We start from the raw sequence: 18,828 nt of genomic DNA, 5'->3' as shown, positions 1-18,828 counted from the left end.
CAATAAAATACTGACAAACTGAATGCAGCAGCACATCAAAAAGCTTATCCACTAGAATCAAGTTGGCTTCATCTCCAGGATACAAAGTTGGTTCAACATATGCAAATCAATAAATGTGATTCATCACATAAACAGAACTAAAGACAAAAACCACATGATTATCTCAATATATGCAGAAAAGGCCTTCGATAAAATCTGGCATCCCTTCATGTTAAAAATTCTCAATAAACTAGGTATTGAAGGAACATACCTCAAAATAATAAGAGCCATATATGACAAACCCACAGCCAATATCATACTGACTGGGCAAAAGCTGGAAGCATTCCCCTTGAAAAACAGCCCAAAACAAGATGTCCTCTCTCGCCACTCCTATTCAACATAGTATTGGAAGTTCTGGCCAGGGCAATCAGATAAGAGAACAAAATAAAGGGTGTTCAAATAGGAAGAGAGGAAGTCAAATTATCTTTGTTTGCAGATGACATGATCCTATATCTAGAAAACCCCATCATCTCAGCCCAAAAGCTTTTTAAGCTGATAAGCAACTTCAGCAGTCTCAGGATACAAAATCAATGTGCAAAAATTGCTAGCATTCCTACACACCAACAACAGGCAATCAAAGAGCCAAATCATAAATGAACTCCCATTCACAATTACTACAAAAAGAATAAAATAACTAGGAATACAGCTAACAAGGGAAGTGAAGGACCTCTTCAAGGAGAACTACAAACCATTGCTCAAAGAAATCGTACAGGACACAAACAAATGGAGAAACATTCCATGCTCATGAACAGGAAGAATCAATATCATGAAAATAGCCATACTGCCCAAAGCAATTTATAGATTCAATGCTATTCCCATTAAACTACCATTGACATTCTTCACAGAATTAGAAAAAACTATTTTAAAATTCATGTGGAACCAACAAATCCCAAATGGCCAAGACAATCATAATCAAAAAGAACAAAGCTGGAGGCATCATGGCTACCCAACTTCAAACTATACTGCAAGGCTACAGTAACCAAAACAGCAGGGTATTGGTACAGGAACAGACACATAGACCAATGGAACAGAATACAGAACTCAGAAATAAGACCCAACACCTACAACCATCTGATCTTCAACAAACTAGACAAAAACAAGCAATGGGGAAAGGACTCCATATTTAATAAATGGTGCTGAGAGAGCTGGCTAGCCATATGCAGAAAATTGAAACTGGACCCATCCCTTACACCTTAAGCAAAAATCAATTCAAGATGGATTAAAGACTTAAGTGTAAAACCCAAAACTATAAAAATGCTGCAAGACAACCAAGGCAATACCATTCAGGACATAGGCATGGACAAAGATTTCATGATGAAAACACCAAAGCAACTGCAACAAAAGCAAAAACCTACAAATGGTATCTAATTAAACTAAAGAGCTTCTGCACAGCAAAAGAAACTATCATCAGACACTTTTCAAAAGAAGACATACATCCAGCCAACAAACATGACAAAACGCTCAACATAACTGATCATTAGAGAAATGCAAATAAAAACCACAATAAGATACGATCTAACACCAGTCAGAATGGCTGTTACTAAGATGTCAAAAAACAACAGATGCTGGTGAGGTTGTGGAGAAAAAGAAATGCTTTTACATTGTTGGTGGGAGTGTAAATTAGTTCAACCATTGTGGAAGACAGTGTAGTGATTCCTCAAAGACCTAGAGGCGTACCATTTGACTCATCAATCCCATTACGGGGTATACACCCCAAAAAATATAAATCATTGTGTTATAAAGATACATGCATGTGTATGTTCATTGCAGCATTTTTCACAATACCAAAGATATAAAATCAATCTAAATGCCCATCAATGATGGACTGGATAAATAAATGTGGTGCATATACACTATGGAATACTATGCAGCCATAAAAAGGAACAAGATCATGTCCTTTGCAGGGATATGGATGGAGTCGGAGTTGGAAGCCATTATCCTCCAGAAACTAACACAGGAACAGAAAACCAAAGAATGCATGCTCTCATCTATAAGTGGGAACTAAATGATGAAAATACATGGACACATAGAGGGGAACAGCACACACTGGGAACTATCAGTGGGCAGTGGGTGGGAGGGAGAGCATCAGGAAGAATAGCTAATTGATGCTGGGCTTAATACCTAGTTGATAGGATGATCTGTGCAGCAAACCACCATGGCACACGTTTACTTGTGTAACAAACCTGCACATCCTCCACATGTACCCATGAACTTAAAATAAAAGTTGAAGAAAAGAAAAAGAAAGAACGAACAATCCTAAAATTCATATAGAACCAAAAAAAGAGCACAGACAGCCAAAGTAATCCTGAGCAAAAAGAACAAATCTGGATGCATCACAATAACTGACTCCAAATTATACTGCAAGGCTATTGTAATCAGAATAGCATGGTATTGGTATAAAAGTAGATACATAGACAAATAGAATAGAATAGAGAACCCAGAAATAAAGCCAAATAGTTACAACCAACTGATCGTCAACAAAGCATATACAAACATAAATTGAAGAAAGGACATGCTATTCAATAAATGGTGCTGGGAAAACTAAATAGCAACATGTAGAAGAATGAAACTGGATCTCTATCTCTCACTATACACAAAAATCAACTCAAGATGGATTACAGACTTAAATCTAAGACTTGAAACCATAAAAATTCTAGAACAAAACCTAGGAAAAATTATTTTGGATAGTAGCCTAGGCAAAGAATTTATAACTAAGACCCCAAAAACAACCAACACAAAGATAAATAAATAAGACTTAAACTAAAATGCTCCACACAGCAAAAGAAATAATCATTAGAGTAAACACACAACTCACAGAATGGGAGAAAATATTTGCAAACTATGCATCCGACAACAGACTAATACCCAGAATCTACAAAGAACTCAAACAAATCAGCAAGGGGAAAAAATCCCTTTAAAAAGTGGGCAAATGACATGAATATACATTTCTCAAAATAACATATACAAATGGCCAAGAAACATACGAAAAACTGCTCACCATCACTAATCATCAGGGAATGCAAATTAAAACCACAATGAGAAACCACCTTATCCCAAACAGAATGGCCCTTTATTAAAAAGTCAAAAAACAAGAGATGTTGGCATGGATATGGTGAAAAGGAAAAGCTTATATACTTCTGGTGGTAACATAAATCAGTATAACCTCTATGGAAAACAGTATGGAGATTTCTCAAAGAACTAAAAGTAGATCTACCATTCAATCCAGCAATCCCACTACTGGACTAGGTACCCAAAGGAAAAGAAGTCATTACATCAAAAAGACACCTGCATGCATATGATTATCACAGCACAATTCACAATTGCAAAGCTATGGAACCAACCTAAGTGCCCATCAATCAATGAGTGGATGAAGAAAATGTGGTATATATACACCATGGAATACTAGTTAGCCATAAAAAAGAATGAAATAATGTATTTTACAGCAACTCAGATGGAACTGAATGCCATTATTCTAAGTGAACTAACTCAGGAGTGGAAAACCAAACACTGTACTTTCTCATTGGTAAATGGGAGCTAAGCTATGGATACACAAAGGCACACAAAGTGATATAATGGACTTTAGAGACTCAGAATAGGGGAGTGTGGGAGGGGCGACTTTAAAAGTTACATATTGGGCACAATGTACGCAACTTGGGTACACTAAAATTTCAGACTTCAGGACTATACCATTCATCCATGTAAGCAAAAACCACTTGTACTCCTAAAGCTATTAAAATACTTTTTTAAAAAAAGAATTTGTTGGTTTGCAAGCATAAAATGAAAGGGAATAGAGTCCAGATGTTTGTCCAGAAACTTCTGAGTGTAAAGCCTTGGAAGAAATGACTGCTTCTAAAGTCTGAGGAGTAAGAAACAAGATTGAAAAGGCTTTTGAGTGACACAGGTAAAAGATTCAGCCTTGTAGCAAAGAGCTAATTAAGAATTTTGCCTTCCCATCTGACCCTGAAGGCCTCAAGGAAGTCACCATCTCATTGACAGAAAAGGGTATTAGGGTGAGAAAGTAATATAATAATTCAAGCTTGGTAATAATATCTAGGAAAAAAACTTAGGGATTTGCTATTGGCATAAAAAACTTAAGGGAAGAAAACAGAACAGAAACAAGTAATCCAAGCACAGAAAGAAAAATACTGCATGATCTCAGTTACAGGTGTAATCTAAAAAAAGTCGGAAGTAGAGAATAGAATGGTGGTTAGCAGGGGCTGGGGCAAGGGTAGAAGTGGATGGGAAGATGTTAGTCAAAGTATACAAAGCTTCAGTTAGACAGAAGGAATAAGTTCTTAAGATTTATTCCACAGCATGGTGACTATAGTTAATAATAATGCAATATATTTCAAAATTGCTAAGAATTTCATACCACACACACACAAAAATTTCATACCACACACACACGTGAAATGATGGATATGTTAATTAGCTTGGTTTAATCATTTCATAGTGAATAAATATATGAAAGCTTCACATTGTACCCCATAAATATGTAAATTATTTGTCAAAAATAAAAGTAATTAATTTAAAAAAAAAACAGAATCCTATCAAATTTTTGACATAAATGTATGGCCAAAGAAACCATGAGCCTGGACTAAAAATAAAATTTTTTAAAGACGTTTGTCTATTTGAGCCTTGAAACAACAGCAGGGCACTAGAGGGCTGCAAAGCTGTGTACCCTCCTAAGATGGCGGACTCCCCTGCAATCACTTCAAACGTAGCCATTGAGAATAAAGTGCAAGAAGGAACTTGCCAGGACAGAGCTCGGACCATGGAGACCAACTGAGAAGAGATTGCCTTTTCTGGCAAAATCAAGGTCTAATCAAGAAAGTTCTCCCACCCTCTGGTTGAGAACCTCCACCTTGCCCACCCAACTGGATTCCATTGTTGCTTTGGGCCTGTGATGACTGTGCTGCCCGCTCTTTACTCTGTTCTAAATGGGAGCTTCTAATGTTACAATGCTTCCCTGCTTCATTGAAAATTGGGAGGCGCTAGGGAGGAGGCAAATAACTTTATTCTCTTCTAGTTCATAAGTCATCAAACCACAAGGATCCTCATTTAGATGTGATGGGGAAGACAGCACATCACCCAGAGATCCTGAACAGTGACTAAGCAAGGTGCCAGGGCTGGATGGGACTTAGGGTCCCTCACTCTGGGAGGGGTGTGTTCTGTGTGTGAGGGGAAAAGCAAAACAGGAATTTGGTAAACAGTAGGGGAAGCTCTGTTAGAGACTAGCTAGTATTCACCAAATGTATTTCCTTTCCTCCCACACACACAGATGAGTGGCATTTCCCAGCCTCCCTTGCAGTTTTGTATGGCCATGTGACATTCTGGCCAATGGAATGGGGGCAGAAGCAGTATCTGCCACTTCCAGTTCTGATCCATTAAAACCTCCTGTGACATCTTCTTCACTTTCTCTTCCACTATCAGCCAGCTAAGCAGCAAGGGCCAGGGCAACCTTGCAAACCACACGCTGGAGAGGGCCTGAGTCCCTGCATGGCCATGCAAGGCACAGCAGCCCCTCCACGCAAGCCTGGTACCTCAAGGTAACCATCAGCAAATGGAGAGAACCTAAACTTTACATAAGGAGAAATAAACTTCTGAGGTGTTAAGCCACTGAGATTTCAGAATATATGCTTTAGAACTAGCATCACCTTAAATACAAAAACTTAATACTGGCATGTTCTAAAGGTCAACAACTATGAACATTCCAATTTAATGTAACTGGATGAGTAAATTATGGTGTCAGCATGGAATACTGTGTAACCATTAGGCCGGGCACAGTGGCTCACACCTGTAATCCCTCCCTTTGGGAGGCCAAGGCGGGCAGATCACCGGATGTCAGGAGTTCAAGACCAGCCTGGCCAACATGGTGAAACCCCGTCTCTATTAAAAATACAAAAATTAGCCAGGTGTGGTGGCAGGCACCTGTAATCCTAGCTACTCAGGAGGCTGAGACAGAACAATCGCTTGAACCAGGTAGGTGGAGGTTGCAGTGAGCCAAAATCGTGCCACTGCACTCCAGCCTGGGCGACAGAGCGAGCCTCCATCTCAGAAAAAAAAGAAGAAAGAAATAACAGTGTAAAGTCATACTGGTTGACATGAAAACATATCTGTGCTATACTACTAAGTGGGAAAAAATTAGGTTGGAAAACAAGATGCAACATAATCCCATTTCGGTAAAGTTGTATGGCTCTGTGAACCTTCTAGAAGGATGTTCCCTAAATCATTAACAGTGAGGAATATGTGACTTCAGTGATCATTTCATCTTCTCCCATACATTTTTCAGGCTTGTTTGACTTTTTACAATGCCTATGTTTTTAAATATAAAAACAACAAGCTATGTTTGAGCAGTAAATGTGTTATTTTTCCTCCAGTTGACCCTGTAATGTCCATTTCCTTTAAGAAAGTTTTCCCATCAGTATTGAATATTCAATATTGAGTATCCTGAAAGCATTACTTCAAGCAAGTTGGAAAACCTATGGGTAAGAAAATAACATGATAATAACGATAATAACACAATAATAACAATATAACATGATAGTAACAATCTTATCTAGGCTCAGAGCACATGTGCACATTTCACAGTTATTCTCATTCATGTATAAGAAGTGACATGATGCATTCTGTTCCAAGATGGCCAAATAGGAACAGCTCTGGTCTGCAGCTCCCAGCATGATCGATGCAGAAGATGGTGATTTCTGCATTTCCAACTGAGGTACCTGTTTATCTCATTGGGACTGGTTGGAGAGTGGGTGCAGCCCACACAGGGTGAGCCGAAGCAGGGCGGGGCATTATCTCACCCAGGAAGCACAAGGGGTCAGGGGATTTCCCTTTCCTAGCCAAGGCAAGCTGTGACAGACTGTACCTGGAAAATTAGGACACTCTCACCCAAATACTGCGTTTTTCCAATGGTCTTAGCAAACAGCACACCAAGAGATTACATCCTGTGCCTGGCTCAGCAGGTCCCACACCCATGGAGCCTTGCTCACTGCTAGCTCAGCAGTCTGAGATCGACCTGCGAGGCAACAGCCTGGCAGAGGGAGGGGCATCTGCCATTGCTGAGGCTTGAGTAGGTAAACAAAGCGGCTGGAGAAGCTTGAACTGGGCGGAGCCCACCGCAGCTCTCCAAGGCCTGCTGCCTCTGTAGACCCCAGCTCTAGGGGCAGGGCATAGCTGAACAAAAGGCAGCAGAAACTTCTGCAGACTTAAACGTCCCTATCTGACAGCTCTGAAGAGAGCAGTGGTTCTCCCAGCATGGTGTTTGAGCTATGAGAACAGACAGACTGCCTCCTCAAGTGGCTCCCTGACCCCTGTGTAGCCTAACTGAGAGACACCTCCAAGTAGGGGCCGACTGACACCTCATACAGGCGGGCACCTCTCTGGGACAACGCCTCCAGAGGAAGGATCAGGCAGCAATATTTACTGTTCTGCAATATTTGCTGTTCTGCAGCCTCCACTGGTGATACCCAGGCAAACAGGGTCTGGAGTGGACCTCCAGCAAACTCCAACAGACCTGCAGCTGAGAGACCTGATTGTTAGAAGGAAAACTAACAAACAGAAAGGAATAGCATCAACATCAACAAAAAGGACATCCACACCAAAACCCCATCTGTAGGTCACCATCTTCAAAGACCAAAGGTAGATAAAACCACAAAGATGGGGAGAAACCAGAGCAGAAAAGCTGAAAATCCTAAAAACCAGAGCACCTCTTCTCCTCCAAAGGATCACAGCTCCTCGCCAGCAACAGAACAAAGCTGGACAGAGAATGACTTTGACGAGCTGACACAAGTAGACTTCAGAAGGTCAGTAATAACAAACTTCTCCGAGCTAAAGGAGGACATTTGAACCCATTGCTAGGAAGCTAAAACCCTTGAAAAAAAATTAGACAAATGGCTAACTAGAATAAACAGTGTAGAGAAGACCATAAATGAACTGATGAAGCTGAAAACCATGGCACAAGAACTACATGACGCATGCACAAGCTTCAATAGCTGATTTGACCAAGTGGAAGAAAGGGTATCAGCGACTGAAGATCAAATTAATGAAATAAGGCGAGAAGAGAAGTTTAGAGAAAAAAGAGTAAAAAGAAACAAATAAAGCCTCCAAGAAATATGAGACTATGTGAAAAGACCAAATCTACGTTTGACTGGTGTACCTGAAAGTGACGGGGAGAATGGAACCAAGTTGGAAAACACTCTGCAGGATACTATCCAGGAGAACTTCCCCAACCTAGCAAGGCAGGCCAACATTCAAATTCAGGAAATACAGAGAACACCACAAAGATACTCCTCAAGAAGAGCAACCCCAAGACATATAATTGTCAGATTCACCAAGGTTGAAATGAAGGAAAAAATGTTAAGTGCAGCCAGAGAGAAAGGTCGGGTTACCCACAAAGGGAAGTCTGATGACTAACAGTGGATATCTCAGCAGAAACTCTACAAGCCAGAAGAGAGTGGGGGCCAATATTCAATATTCTTAAAGAAATGAATTTTCAGCCCAGAATTTCATATCCAGCCAAACTAAGCTTCATAAGTGAAGGAGAAATAGAATCCTTTACAGACAAGCAAATGCTCAGAGATTTTGTTACCACTAGGTCTGCCTTACAAGAGCTCCTGAAGGAAGCACTAAACATGGAAAGGAACAACGGGTACCAGCCACTGCAAAAACATGCCAAACTGTAAAGACCATCAATGCTAGGAAGAAACTGCATCAACTAACAGGTAAAATAACCAGCTAACATCATAATGATGGGATCAAATTCACACATAACAATATTAACCTTAAATCTAAATAGGCTAAATGCCCCAATTAAAAGACACAGACTGGCAAATTGGACAAAGAGTCAAGACCCATCAGTGTGCTGTATTCAGGAGACCAATCTCACGTGCAGAGACACACATAGGCTCAAAATAAAGGGATGGAGGAAGATCTACCAAGCAAATGGAAAGCAAAAAAGAAAAAAGCAGGGGTTGCAATCCTGGTCTCTGATAAAACAGACTTTAAACCAGCAAAGATCAAAAGAGACAAAGAAGGCCATTACATAATGGCAAAGGGATCAATTCAACAAGAAGAGCTAACTATCCTAAATATATATGCACCCAACACAGGAGCACCCAGATTCATAAAGCAAGTCTTTAGAGATCTGCAAAGAGACTTAGACTCCCACACAATAATAATGGGAGACTTTTAACACCCCGCTGTCAATATTAGACAGATCAACAAGACAGAAGGTTAAAAGGATATCCAGGACTTCAACTCAGCTCTGCACCAAGCAGACCTAATAGACATCTACAGAACTCTCCACCCCAAATCAACAGAATATACATTCTTCTCAGCACCACATTGCACTTATTCCAAAACTGACCACATAATTGGAAGTAAAGCACTCCTCAGAAAATGTAAAAGAACAGAAATCATAACAAACTGTCTCTCAGACCACAGTGCAATCAAACTAGAACTCAGGATTAAGAAACTCACTCAAAACCGCACAACTACATGGAAACTGAACAACCTGCTCCTGAATGACTACTGGGTAAATAACAAAATGAAGGCAGAAATAAAGGTGTTCTTCGAAACTAATGCGAACAAAGACACAACATACCAGAATCTCTGGGACACATTTAAAGCAGTGTGTAGAGGGAAATTTACAGCACTAAATGTCCATAAGAGAAAGCAGGAAAGATCTAAAATTGACATCCTAACATCACAATTAAAAGAACTAGAGAAGCAAGAGCAAACACATTCAAAAGCTAGTAGAAGGCAAGAAATAACTAAGATCAGAGCAGAACTGAAGGAGATAGAGACAAAAAACCCTTCAAAAAATCAATGAATCCAAGAGCTGGTTTTTTGAAAAGATCAACAAAATTGATAGACCGCTAGCAAGACTAATAAAGAAGAAAAGAGAGAAGAATAAAACAGACGCAATAAAAAATGATAAAGGGGATATCACCACTGATCCCACAGAAATACAAACTACTATCAGAGAATGCTATAAATACCTCTACACAAATAAACTAGAAAAATCGAGGAGAAATGGATAAATTCCTGGACACATACACCCTCCCAAGACTAAACCAGGAAGAAGTTGAATCTCTGAATAGACCAATAACAGGATCTGAAATTGAGGCAATAATTAATAGCCTACCAACCAAAAAAAGTCCAGGACCAGATGGGTTCACAGCCGAATTCTACCAGAAGTACAAAGAGGAGCTGGTACCATTCCTTCTGAAACTATTCCAATCAATAGAAAAAGAGGGAATCCTCCCTAACTCATTTTATGAGGCCAGCATCATCCTGATACCAAAGCCTGGCAGAGACACAACAAAAAAGAGAATTTTAGACCAATATCCCTGATGAACGTCGATGCAAAAATCCTGAATAAAATACCGGCAAACCGAATCCAGCAGCACATCAAAAAGCTTATCCACCATGATCAGGTCAGCTTCATCCCTGGGATGCAAGGCTGGTTCAACATATGCAAGTCAATAAACGTAATCCATCACATAAACAGAACCAATGAAAAAAAACACATGATTATCTCAACAGATGCAGAAAAGGCCTTCAACAAAATTCAACAGCACTTCATGCTAAAAACTCAATAAACTAGGTATTGATGGAATGTATCTCAAAATAATAAGAGCTATTTATGACAAACCCATAGCCAATATCACACTGAATGAGCAAAAACTGGAAGCATTACCTTTGAAAACTGGCATAAGACAGGGATGCCCTCTCTCAGCACTCCTATTCAACATAGTGTTGGAAGTTCTGGCCAGGGCCATCAGACAAGAGAAAGAAATAAAGAGTATTCCATTAGGAAAAGAGGAAGTTAAATTGTCCCTGTTGGCAGATGATATGATTGTATATTTAGAAAACCCCATCATCTCAGCCCAAAATCTCCTTAAGCAGATAAGCAACTTCAGTAATGTCTCAGGATACAAAATCAATGTGCAAAAATCACAGGCATTCCTATACACCAATAACAGACAAACAGAGACCCAAATCATGAGCAAACTCCCATTCACAATTGCTACAAAGAGAATAAAACACCGAGGAATCCAACTTACAAGGGATGTAAAGAACCTCTTCAAGGAGAACTACAAACTACTGCTCAACGAAATAAAAGAGGACACAAACAAATGGAAGAACATTCCATGCTCATGGATAGGAAGAATCAATATCGTGAAAATGGCCATACTGCCCAAGGTAATTTATAGATTCAATGCCATCCCCATCAAGCTACCAATGACTTTCTTCACAGAATTGGAAAAAACTACTTTAAAGTTCATATGGAACCAAAAAAGAGCCTGCATTGCCAAAACAATCCTAAGCAAGAAGAACAAAGCTGGAGGCAACACACTACTTCAAACTATACTACAAGGCTACAGTAACCAAAACAGCATGGTGCTGGTACCAAAACAGAGAGATAGACCAATGGAACAGAACAGAGCCCTCAGAAATAACACCACACATCTACAACCATCTGATCTTTGACAAAGCTGACAAAAACAAGAAATGGGGAAAGGATTCCCTATTTAATAAATGGTGCTGAGAAAACTGGCTAGCCATATGTAGAAAGCTGAAACTGGATCCCCTCCTTACACCTTATACAAAAATTAATTCAAGATGAATTAAAGACTTAAATGTTAGACCTAAAACCATAAAAACCCTAGAAGAAAACCTAGGCAATACCTTTCAGGACATAGGCATGGGCAAGGACTTAATAACTGAAACACCAAAAGCAATGGCAACACAAGCCAAAATAGACAAATGGGATCTAATTAAACTAAAGAGCTTCTGCACAGCAACAGAAACTACCATCAGAGTGAACAGGCAACCTATAGAATGGGAGAAAATTTTTGCAATCTACCCATCTGACAAAGGGCTAATATCCAGAATCTACAAAGAACTTAAACAAATGTACAAGAAAAAACAAATAAACAAGCCCATCAAAAAGTGGGCAAAGGATATGAACAGAAACTTCTCAAAAGAAGACATTTATGCAGCCAACAGACACATGAAAAAATGCTCATCATCACTGGTCATCAGAGAAATGCAAATCAAAACCACAATGAGATACCATATCACATCAGTTAGAATGGTGATCATTAAAAAGTCAGGAAACAACAGATGCTGGAGAGGATATGGAGAAACAGGAATGCTTTTACACTGTTGGTGGGAGTGTAAACTAGTTCAACCATTGTGGAAGACAGTGCGGCGATTCATCAAGGATCTAGAACTAGAAATACCATTTGGCCCAGTGATCCCATTTGACCCAGCGATCTAAATTGCCCCAAAAATTTAGAATTGGGGCAATAGCAAAATTGCTATTTATATACCCAAAGGATTATAAATCATGCTACTAGAAAGACACATGCACGCTTATGTTTATATGCAGCACTATTCACAATAGCAAAAACTTGGAACCAACCCAAATGTCCGTCAATGATAGACTGGATTAAGAAAATGTGGCACATATACACCATGGAATACTATGCAGCCATAAAAAAGGATGAGTTCATGTCCTTTGTAGGGACATGGATGAAGCTGGAAACCATCATTCTCAGCAAACTATCGCAAGGACAAAAAATCAAACACCGCATGTTCTCACTCATAGGTGGGAATTGAACAATGAGAACACATGGACACAGGAAGGGGAGCATCACACACCAGGGACTGTTGTGGCATGGGGGGAGTGGGGAGGGATAGCATTAGGAGATATACCTAATGCTAAATGACGAGTTAATCAAAATAATAAATGATAACACTGTTATTGTAAAAAAAAAAAAAGAAAAGTACATATTCTGCTATTGTTGGATAGACTGTTCTGTAGATGTGTGTTAGGTCTAGTTAATTGTGTTGCTCAAATCTTCTATTTCCTTGTTTTTCTTCTCTGTAGTTCTAGAAATTGTTGAAAGTGAGTATTGTTATCTCTAAAAAAAAAAAAAGAAAAGAAAATGTGGCACATATACACCATGGAATACTACGCAGCCATAAAAAAGGATGAGTTCATGTCCTTTGCAAGGACATGGATGAAGCTGGAAACCATCATTCTCAGCAAACTATCGCAAGGACAGAAAACCGAACAGTGCATGTTCTCACTCATAGGTGGGAATTGAGCAATGAGAACACTTGGACACAGGACAGGGAACATCGCACACTGGGGCCTGTCGTGGGGTGCGGGGAGGGATAGCATTAGGAGAAATACCTAATGTAAATGACAAGTTAGTGGGTGCAGCAAACCAACATAGCACATGTATACCTATGTAACAAACCTGCATGTTGTGCACATGTACCCCAGACCTTAAAGTATAATAAATTTTTTAAAAGACAAAAAAAAAAAAGAAGTGACATGACATAAACTGCCTGGTCTCTGCCCTCCTAACCCTGGGACATCAGGCAGACCTTGAAAGCTGGATATTATCATTTGGGAGGCGAGGAGAGGGCAGTGCAATGAAGGTCCCTGCTCTAAAGGCCCTGGTTTGACTTGTACAAGGAAGCAGTAAGGTGCAGAAAGGAGCTTCAGTGGGAGCTATGGCCAGGCTTTGAAATCTTTCCCACACCAGCATGATGACCGGTGTGTCTACCACTGAGCTCCCTGCCTTCCAGTTAGCCAGGGTGAAAGAACAACCAATCCTCTTCTGACACAGATCTCTCTGTTATTAGGATCACAGAAAAGGTGGCCATGGTGACGATCCTGCCTTTGGGGTTTAGGTCATAGATGACTATACCTATGCTTAAATAGTTATCATAAAAATAGAGTTTTGAGCAGAAATGTGGATCCAGAAAATAGATTTTTAGAAAAATTAAACTACCAATAATGTCCACAGTGAACAGAAAGAGGCTGGTGGCTGAAAATCTATTTAAAGGCTACTGCGACAATCCTGCATGCATGATGAGGATGGAAAGAGAAAGGAAGAATTCAGTCACAGGATCCTAGGGCACAAACCCAGGCCCTAAGCACCCAACAGATTCAGAGAGTCCACGTGCTAAATGCAGGGAAACTAAGACCACTTCAAGTATCTCAAGCAGAAGAAATTTAATATAGGGAATTTGTTACAAAGATATAGAAAGAACTAGAAGAGAACAAAGGAGAAGGAGAGGACAGAAGTGAAAAGGAAAAGGGGGTCATAGCTAGACACCCATCATTAATGCTCCTAAACGATGTCCCTCAGCCTTCTCAATCTGCTGTACTGTTGAGGAGGTTGTGCCATTTGGCTCTGAAGCCACCAAGGAAGTGCTACATCAACTAAGATTGGAGCCCCAATAAGGGGGTTACCTGCAGGGTTGCTGATGTTCCAACTCACCCCTTCCTTACTATCACTACAGCAACTGCTTGCAATGGCCTCACAGTAAAACCCAGAATCAGGAAGTTTTTCTCTCCGTCTTACTGGTCTCCCACCAGTGCCTCCTATTAACAGAATTTAACAGCAAATGAGCTGGCGAGAAAGCCTGGGATATGTAGCTTTCCGGCTGCTAGCCCTAGCAGTAAAGAGCAAAGCACAGGAAGGTAAGTGAAAGGCCAGCCTACACTCTTACCCATTGTTAACAAATGTCCATTCTGAAGGATATGTACAGGGCAGTGGTGAGCAAGCAAGGTGATGGGCAGGGTGGGGGTTATAGTCCTTGCCTTCAAGGAAAATCCTAGTGAAAATGTAGAATTTGGGCAATAGCAAAATTGCTCCTCTGACTCTATGGCAATCAGATCATTGAAATTAAACAGAAATGACCAAGTTGGAGCCAGATAAAGCATGCCATGTGCCCTCTCCAGAATTCTCTGTCTGCTACACTAAAAATAACATCTTTCTCTTGTTGACAGAATTGCAGCTAGCACATATGGTACCATTGTGCAAATTTTTAAAAGGTATCTTCTGTGGGCTGGTAAAATATAAAAAGATGTCCTCTTAGGGAGGGTAAATTAGAAAAAGGTGGCACCTCTGAGCTGATGAATTAGAAAAAGGCTCGCCATCCTCAGCACCAGGGCTCCATTCACCCCTCGGCCAGTACCATTGTGTGGGACGTCACCTGCACAGCGGCAGGCTGCAGGCCACCTGTAATATGCTACCGTTTGCTAAGCCCTTTTATCTCTCATCTTACATGATCCTCACAATAGGCCCACAAAATAAGCATTATTACTTCCTATCTTACAGACGAAGAGAATTAAATAGCTTATTCCCAGTCATATGCTTAATAAGTGACACAAGAGCTGGCAGAGATGTGAAATCTAATAATAGCTCCTCAATAATAATATTGAGCGCCTACAGTGAGGCAGAAACTGTATGTACTTGAAACTCTACACATCTGACCGCAGTCAATTCTCTTAACAGTATGAGGTAGCTAGTATTCTCTGTATTTCACTGGCCAATTTTTGACTGCTAGGAGAACAAGGACATCAGCGTCCCGGGGAAGGCCCCCACACCGTGTATACAGTGTGTGTGCCCAGTCCCCAAGCCACCATGAATGGCATTCTTTCATTTATTTTATTTTATTTTTTTTTACTAGTTATTGCCTCACTCAAAGGAGGCCTAAACACAGTGAGATCTGAAGGGACAAGGAAACTGAATAGGAATATCTGAAGCTGGGATTTCCTGTGGGTTTTTCTATGAGTGAAACAAAAAGCTCCTTTGACTCTGGCTCTTTCGGGGTTCCAGGGAACAAGATGGCATTATCTCTGCACTGAAGGGCCTTTGACTCCCACACTCACTGCAGACAATGCTAAAAGAACACCCAAAGAATTAGCGAAATGGCCTGCCAAGTCCCCAACTTTACAGAAGCTCTCCCTTGGTGGAAATAGCTCACAAGTGACAGCTCTGAAAATTTACAGAGCCGGCAAGGTTTGGTGGGAAGGCAGTAGACCAAGTCCTCATCTTCTGCTGTTCCAGTGCATGCTCAGGTTGAGTACATTTTCATAACGGTTTTATTAAATAGATTTTCACTGTGACTATTTCCTCCCTGGAGCTAAAACACCTGAGAAGCCAAGGAAGAAGGAAAACTGTGTTTACAGAGAAAGGCAATGACAGACGCTCTGCTGAGCTGAACTTCTTTCAAGGTTAGAATGCCCTCTTTGGGTATGAAATTATACCAGCAAGAGCAGGGAATTTTCTGAGCCAGAAGAGATTCAGAAACACCAAAATCCACACAATGTCCTAATGGAGAATTGTATAGAGCTTACATTTCATACAGATGAAAATGTTATATAGGTAAAACCAAAATTCAATTGCACAGTGAAAAAAAAAAGATTTACTGGGCCTAGAACTGTAACTCCTGTAACAGAGCCTACCTATATGTGTTGTTACACAGCCTTCACTGTCCATGATACATTTGGTATCAATCATCCACACTGAATCATCTCATCGCCAGCAGCACTAGAGATACTCACGAGAGGTGACAGCGTGCTGGCAGTCCTCGCAGCCCGCGCTCGCTCTCGGCACCTCCTCTGCCTGGGCTCCCACTTTGGCGGCACTTGAGGAGCCCTTCCGCCCGCCGCTGCACTGTGGGAGCCCCTTTCTGGGTTGGCCAAGGCCGGAGCCGGCTCCCTCAGCTTGCAGGCAGGTGTGGAGGGAGAGGCGCGGGCGGGAACCGGGGGCTGCGCGCGGTGCTTGCGGGCCAGCGCGAGTTCCGGGTGAGCATGGGCTCCGCGGGTCCGCACTCGGAGTGGCCGGCCGGCCCCGCCGGCCCCGGGCAGTGAAGGGCTTAGCACCTGGGCCAGCAGCTGCTGTGTTCAATTTCTCGCAAGGCCTTGGCTGCCTTCCCGCGGGGCAGGGCTGGGGACCTGCAGCCCGCCATGCCTGAGCCTCCCCGCCCTTCGTGGGCTCCTGTGCAGCCCGAGCCTCCCCGACAAGCGCCGCCCCCTGCTCCACAGCGCCCAGTCCCATCGACCACCCAAGGCCTGAGGAGTGCAGGCACACGGCAGGGGACTGGCAGGCAGCTCCACCTGTAGCCCCGGTGCGGGATCCACTGGGTGAAGCCAGCTGGGCTCCTGAGTCTGGTGGGGCCTTGGAGAACCTTTATGTCTAGCTCAGGGATTGTAAAAACACCAGTCAGCACCCTGTGTCTAACTCAGGGTTTGTGAATGCACCAATGGACACTCTGTATCTAGCTAATCTGGTGGGGAGGTGGCGAACATTTGTGTCTAGCTCAGGGATTGTAAACGTACCAATCAGCGCCCTGTCAAAACAGACGACTGGGCTGTACCAATCAGCAGGATGTGGGTGGGGCCAGATAAGAGAATAAAAGCAGGCTGCAGGCGCCAGCAGCGGCAACCCTCTCCGGTCCCTTTGCACATTGTGGAAGCTTTGTTCTTTCGCTGTTTGCAACAAACCTTGCTGCTGCTCACTCTTTGGGTCCACACTGCCTTTATGAGCTGTAACAGTCACCACGAAGGTCTGCAGCTTCACTCCTGAAGCCAACGAGACCACGAACCTACAAGGAGGAACGAACGACTCCAGACGCGCCGCCTTAAGAGCTGTAACACTCACCGCGAAGGTCCGCAGCTTCACTCTTGAGCCAGCGAGACCACGAACCCACTAGAAAGAAGAAACTCCGAACACATCCGAACATCAGAAGGAACAAACTCCAGACACGCCGCCTTTAAGAACTGTAACACTCACCGCGAGGGTCCGCGGCTTCATTTTTGAAGTCAGTGAGACCAAGAACCCACCAATTCCGGACACACTCAGAGCCCAAGATAGCATCCTACCCAGCACAAGAATAGCTCACCTTGATTGTCATTGCTGGTTGGTATTTAATGGGGAACCTTGACAGTTCCAACCCTTTTCCTTCAGGCCTATCAGTGAAAGCAGTTGTCCAGTTCATCTTGTAAGACCAGCAGGGTCTCCAGAGCATGGACAGACTACAGGGTAGGTTATCATTTGTCCTAAGGCTGGAAAATGTGGCATCACAGGATTCATCCAAAAGGCAGCATTGGGAGAGTCTATACTAGTCAGCACTCCAAAGAGTGTAAGTCAACCAGGAGAATCCAGGGGTCAGACCAAGGATCAAAAACCAGGGAGGGGCACAGCGTGGTGGCTCATGCCTATAATCCCAGCCCTTTGGGAGACAGAGGCAGGAGGTTTTCTTGAGCCCAGCAGTTTGAGACCAGCCCGGGTAACATAGGGAGATCCTGTCTCTACAAAAAATAAATAAAAATAAAAATAGCCAGGCATTGTGACACACTCCTATAGTCCCAGCTACTTGCAGAGCAGAGATGGGAGGATCATTTGAGCCCAGCAAGTAGAGGCTGCAGTGAGCTGTGATCATGCCACTGCACTCCAGCATGGGCAACAGAGGGAGACCTTGTCTCAAAAAAAAAAAAAAAAAATACCAAGGAGGTCTGGTGAGCCCACAGTTTTGGAAGCTGAGTTTCGGAGGTACTCCCACTCAGAGCATACTGCTGTGTTGCTTTATGGAGAAGCCAGCCTGCACTTACACTCCGGGAATGTGCTGAAGCTGGGGGTAACAATACAACCCCATGATGTCTTGTGCTCATCTTCCCCAAGACACTCTTATGTTCATCTGTTCTTCCATTATGCAGCGCTATACCTGGTGGCTCAGAGACCAAAGGCAGCATATCAGCAGCCTGTCTCAAGAAACGGAGGCAGTACAATAGTAACTGAGGCTAAGAACTGGAAGTGGAGGAGGAGGGAGAGAGGGGAAGGGGAGGGAAAGTAGCAAAACAGCTATTAAGCACAAATCCATGATGCATCATCTCTAATTCCAAAATCCAAAATTCTCTGAGAACCTCAAGCCTTCTCTAATTCATCTGGCAGTAATCTGACCTGACTG

At 42.2% G+C, this 18,828-nt stretch overlaps 1 protein-coding gene and 1 long non-coding RNA gene across 31 annotated transcripts in view, besides 2 other annotated features; both read right to left on the bottom strand.

Moving 5' to 3' along the window:
• Window positions 1-18,828, bottom strand: part of TSNAX-DISC1 (TSNAX-DISC1 readthrough (NMD candidate)) — a 512,620-nt gene that overhangs the window by 382,380 nt on the left and 111,412 nt on the right. The window lies entirely within an intron of this gene.
• The window catches only part of DISC1 (DISC1 scaffold protein), a 414,483-nt gene that overhangs the window by 382,380 nt on the left and 13,275 nt on the right, over window positions 1-18,828 (bottom strand). The gene's annotated exons all lie outside the window — the stretch shown is intronic.
• Window positions 6,584-7,084: an enhancer, noted in NCBI's record as "H3K4me1 hESC enhancer chr1:231787555-231788055 (GRCh37/hg19 assembly coordinates)". NCBI's record gives its function as "activates a minimal SCP1, AML or CMV promoter by ChIP-STARR-seq in naive H9 embryonic stem cells {active_cell/tissue: H9 hESC(naive)}" and the evidence as "EXISTENCE:reporter gene assay evidence [ECO:0000049][PMID:30033119]".
• Window positions 7,085-7,585: an enhancer, noted in NCBI's record as "H3K4me1 hESC enhancer chr1:231787054-231787554 (GRCh37/hg19 assembly coordinates)". NCBI's record gives its function as "activates a minimal SCP1, AML or CMV promoter by ChIP-STARR-seq in naive H9 embryonic stem cells {active_cell/tissue: H9 hESC(naive)}" and the evidence as "EXISTENCE:reporter gene assay evidence [ECO:0000049][PMID:30033119]".

Source organism: Homo sapiens, chromosome 1, assembly GCF_000001405.40.
Source record: "Homo sapiens chromosome 1, GRCh38.p14 Primary Assembly".
In the NCBI taxonomy this organism is placed as follows: Eukaryota; Metazoa; Chordata; class Mammalia; order Primates; family Hominidae; genus Homo; species Homo sapiens.
Note: the sequence above shows the minus strand (reverse complement) of the source record. Positions and strands in the feature narration are given on the sequence as shown.